The following is a 5,193-nucleotide window of genomic DNA, read 5'->3' on the forward strand; positions in this document are numbered from 1 at the left end:
AGGGTGTATGTGTCCAGGAATTTATCCATTTCTTCTAGATTTTCTAGTTTATTTGTGTAGAGGTGTTTATAGTATTATCTAATGGTAATTTGTTTTTCTGTGGGATCAGTGGTGATATCTCCTTTATCATTTTTTATTGTGTCTATTTGAGTCTTCTCTCTTCTCTTTTTTATTAGTCTGGGTAGCAGTCTATCTATTTTGTTAATCTTTTCAAAAACCAGCTCCTGGATTCATTGATTTTTTTTGAAGCGTTTTTCATGTCTCTATCTCCTTCAGTTCTGCTCTGATCTTAGTTATTTCTCATCTTCTGCTAGCTTTTGAATTTATTTGCTCTTGCTTCTCTAGTTCTTTTAATTGTGATATTAAGGTATTAATTTCAGATCTTTCCCACTTTCTGATGTGGGCATTTAGTCCTATCAGTTTCCATCTTAACACTGCTTTAACTGTGTTCCAGAGATTCTGGTACGTTGTCTCTTTTTTCTCATCCATTTCAAAGAACTTCTTTATTTCCACCTTAATTTTGTTATTTACCCAGTAGTTATTCAGGAGCAGGTTGTTCAGTTTCCATGTAGTTGTGTGGTTTTGAGTGAGTTTCTTAATCCTGAGTTCTGATTTGAGTGCACTGTGATCTGAGAGACTGTTATGATTTCAGTTCTTTTGCATTTGCTGAGGAGTGTTTTATTTCCAATTATGTGGTTGATTTTAGAATAAGTGCTATGTGGCACTGAGAAGAATATATATTCTGTTGATTTGGGGTGGAGAGTTCTGTAGATGTCTATTAGGTCCCCTTGGTCCAGAGCTGAGTTCGAGTCCTGAATATCGTTGTTAAATTTCTCTCTAGTTGATCTAACATTGACAGTGGGGTGTTAAAGTCTCCCACTATTATTGTGTGGGAGTCCAGGTATCTTTGTAGGTCTCTAAGAACTTGTTTTATGAATCTGGGTCCTTCTGTATTGGGTGCATATATATTTAGAATAGTTAGCTCTTCTTGTATTGATCCCTTTACCATTATATAATGTCCTTTGTCTCTTTTGATGTTTCTTGGTTTAAAAACTGTTTTATCAGAGACAAGGATTACAACCCCTGTTTTTTTTCTTTCCATTTGTTTGGTAAATATTCTTTCATCCCTTTATTTTGAGCCTATGTGTGTCTTTGAACATGAGATGGGTCTTCTGAATACAGCACGCCAATGGGTCTTGACTCTTTATCCAATTTGTCATTCTGTGTCTTTTAATTGGGACATTTAGCCCTTTTACATTTAAAGTTAATATTGTTATGTGTGAATTTCATTCTGTCATCATGATGCTAGCTGGTTGTTTTGCACATTAGTTGATGCAGTTTCTTCGTAGTGTTGTTGGTCTTTATAATTTTGTGTGCTTTTACAGTGGCTGGTACCAGTTTTTCCTTCCCATATTTAGTGCTTCCTTCAGAAGCTCTTGTAAGGCAGGCCTGATGGTGACAAAATCCCTCAGCATCTGCTTGTCTGTAAAGAATTTTAATTCTTCTTCACTTATGAAGCTTAGTTTGACTGGATATGAAATTCTGGGTTGAAAATTCTTTTCTTTAAGAATGTTGAATATTTGCCCCCACTCTCTTCTGACTTGCAGGGTTTCTGCAGAGAGATCCACTGTTAGTCTGATGGGCTTCCCTTTATAAGTAACCTGTCCTTTCTCTCTGGCTGCCTTTAACATTTTTTTCCTTCGTTTTAACCTTGGAGAATCTGATGATTATTTGTGTTGGGGCTGTTCTTCTCGAGGAGTATTTTAGTGACGTTCTCTGTATCTCCTGAATTTGAGTGTTGGTCTGTCTTGCTAGGTTAGGGATGTTCTCCTGGATAATATCCTGAAGTGTGTTTTCCAGCATGGTTCCATTCTCCCCATCACTTTAAGGTACACCAATCAATCGTAGGTTTGGTCTTTTCACATAGTCCCATATTTCTTGGAGGCTTTGTTCATTCCTTTTCATTCTTTTTTCTCTAATCTTGTCTTCACACTTTATTTCATTAAGTTGATCTTCAATCTGTGATATTGTTTCTTCCGTTTGATTGATTTGGCTATTGATACTTGTGTATACTTCATGAAGTTCTTGTGCTGTGTTTTTCAGCTCCATCAGGTCATTTGTGTTCTTCTCTAAACTGGCTATTCTAGTTAGCAGTTCCTGTAACCTTTTATCAAGGCTCTTCGCTTCCTTGCATTGGGTTAGAACATGTTCCTTTAGCTGGGAGGAGTTTGTTATTACCCACATTCTGAAGTATACTTCTGTCAACTCATTAATCTCATTCTTCATTCAATTTTGTGCCCTTGCTAGAGAAGAATTGCAATCATTTGGATGAGAAGAGGTGTTCTGGTTTTTGGAAGTTTTGGCTTTTTTGCGCTGGTTTTTCCTCATCTTTGTGGATTTTTCTACCTTTTTTTTTTGAGACTGATGACTTTTGGATGGGGTTTTTGTCGGGGGGAGGGGACTCCTTTTTGTTGATGTTGATGATGTTGCTTTCTGTTTGTTAGTTTTTCTTCTAACAGTCAGGCCCCTCTTTTGCAGGTCTGCTGCAGTTTGCTGGGGGTCCACTCTAGACCCCCAGGTGTCACCTGCGGTATCACCAGTGGAGCCTGCAAACAGCAAAAATTGCTTTCTGCTCCTTCCTCTGGAAGCTTCGTCCCAGACAGGCACCAGCCTGATGCCAGCGGGCGCTCTCCTGTATCAGGTGAATGTCGACCCCTGCTGGGAGGTCTCTCCCAGTCGGGAGGCACAGGGCTAAGGGACCCACTTGAGGAGGCAGTCTGTCCCTTAGCAGAGCTTGAACACTGTGCTGGGGGAATCCTCCTTGTTAGGATCCGCTGCTCTCTTCAGAGCTGGAAGGCAGGAGTGTTTAAATCTGCTGAAGCTGCTCCCACAGCCACCCCTTCCCCCAGGTGCTCTGACCCAGGGAGCTGGGAGTTTTATCTATAAGCCCCTGACTGGGGCTGCTACCTTTCAGAGATGCCCTGCCCAGTGAGGAGAAACCTAGAGAGGCAGTCTGGCCAAAGCCACTTTGCTGCACTGCGGTGAGTTCCGCCCAGTCCAAACTTCCTGGCCTCCTTAGCAATGTCAGGGGAAAACCGCCTACTCAAGCCTCAGTCATGGTGGACGCCCCTCCCCCAACCAAGCTGGAACGTCCAAGATGGACTTTAGACTGCTACAATTGCTACGCTAGTGGAGAGAATTTAAAGCCAGTGGTTCTTAGCTTGCTGGGCTCCACGGGAGTGGGACCCGCTGAGTGAGACCACTTGGCTCCCTGGCTTCAGCGCTTTTCCAGGGGAGTGAACGGTTCTGACTTGCTGGGGTTCCAGGCACTACTTGGGTACGAAAAAAAAAAACTCCTGCAGCTAGCTTGGTGTCTGACCAAACAGCCACCCAGTTTTGTGGTTGAAACCCAGGGCCTTGGTGGTGTAGGCACATGAGGGAATCTCCTGCTCTATGGATTGCAAAAACCATGGAAAAAGCGTAGTATCTGGGCTGGATAGCACAATCCTTCATGGCTTCCCTTGACTGTGGGAGGGAGGTCCCTGGCCCCTTGCACTTCTTAGGTGAGGCAACGTCCCACCCTGCTTCTGCTTGCCCTCTGTGGGCTGCACCCACTGCCTAACCAGTCCCAGTGAGATCAACTGGGCACCTCAGTTGGAAATGCAGAAATCACCCACCTTCTGCATTGGTCTCACTGGGAGCTGCAGACTGGAGCTGTTCCTATTCAGCCATCTTGCCAGATATATTTACTCAATATTGTTTACGGTCATCATATAGTCCCTTTTGTGCAATGTTTTATTTATACTTTGAAAGAATATGAATTCTGCTGTTATTAGTTGTGGTGCTCTGTGAGACCAATTTTCATAAAAATATTCAAGTCTTCCATAATTTACTGGTTTTATAAATATGTTTTTTATTAATTACTGAGAAAGTAATTTTGAAATATTTACATATAAATGTATTTCTTGTGTTTTTTTCTTTTCCATTCTGTGTTCATATTTTATGTAAGTATACACTTATCACTTTTATGTAAGTATACAAATAGTATTTTCATATCTTCTTGAAGAATTGACCCTTTTATTATTATAAAGGGTTGCTCTTTATCACTGGTAATATTATTTCTTGTGAAGTCTTCTTTGTTTTATATTAACACAACCATTCCAGCCTTCGTTAGTATTGTTGACTGCATGGTATATTATTCTTCCATATGGCAGCCCCCCATCTGTGGTTTTACTTTCCATGATTTTAGTTACATATGATCAACTACAGTTCAAAAATAGATAAGTACATTACCATAATAGATTTTAAAAGGGAAAGATAGAGACAGCACATTTATCTAACTTTTATTATAGTATATTATTATAATTGTTCTAACTTATTAAGTATCATTGTTAATCTCTTACTGTGCCATACTTATAAATGAAAGTTTATCATAGGTATGCATAGGTAGAAAAAGAAAACAGTAATATAAGCTTCGGTACTATCCGCTGTTTCACACACCCACTGAAGGTCTTGAAATATATTCCCTGCAGATAAGGGAGGACAACCGTACATTCAACCTTTGTTTAAGAGGCATCTCAAAGTGGAGACTATGTGTTTGCCTATTATGTATTTATTCATTATTACATTTAATGCTTTATGATCAGAGTGTTTAGATACTTATATTTAATGCTATTGCAAATATGATAGGCTTTACTGGTACTATATGGCTATTATTTTCTATGTGTTTACATCTGTTGTTTGATTATTTAATTGGGCATATATAAATTCCATTGCTTTTTCTCTTCCATTAACTTAGAAGTCATAGATCTTTGTTTTATTTGTTTTATTGTGGCTATTAAAATATCACTCCATGTTTATAAGAACTTGCAATGAATATATTTCCCTTCCTGTTCTTTGTGCTAGTATTTTCACACACCTAACTACTGCATATTTTACAAATCATCCTATTCTTTGTTATTATTTTTGTTTTGAAGCAATAAAAATAAAAACAGAGATAAAACCTTTCATGTCTATCCATGGTTCCTCATGTAAGGAACTTGGAAGTCATCACTCATAAGTACAAAGGTGAACAGACTGAAAAACCAGCAATTATTCTTAAATTCATAAATGAAGTAGGAACATGGAATGAAAATATCTCCAAGATTGGAGAGACAGACAGATGAATACAAGGAGTCACAGCATACCAGAGCA

The 5,193-nt window shown here is 39.1% G+C and overlaps 1 annotated feature.

Annotated features, from left to right (window-relative positions):
* Nucleotides 2,645-3,146: an enhancer, noted in NCBI's record as "H3K4me1 hESC enhancer chr2:156207407-156207908 (GRCh37/hg19 assembly coordinates)". NCBI's record gives its function as "activates a minimal SCP1, AML or CMV promoter by ChIP-STARR-seq in primed H9 embryonic stem cells {active_cell/tissue: H9 hESC(primed)}" and the evidence as "EXISTENCE:reporter gene assay evidence [ECO:0000049][PMID:30033119]".

This window comes from Homo sapiens, chromosome 2, assembly GCF_000001405.40.
Source record: "Homo sapiens chromosome 2, GRCh38.p14 Primary Assembly".
Lineage (NCBI taxonomy): Eukaryota > Metazoa > Chordata > Mammalia > Primates > Hominidae > Homo > Homo sapiens.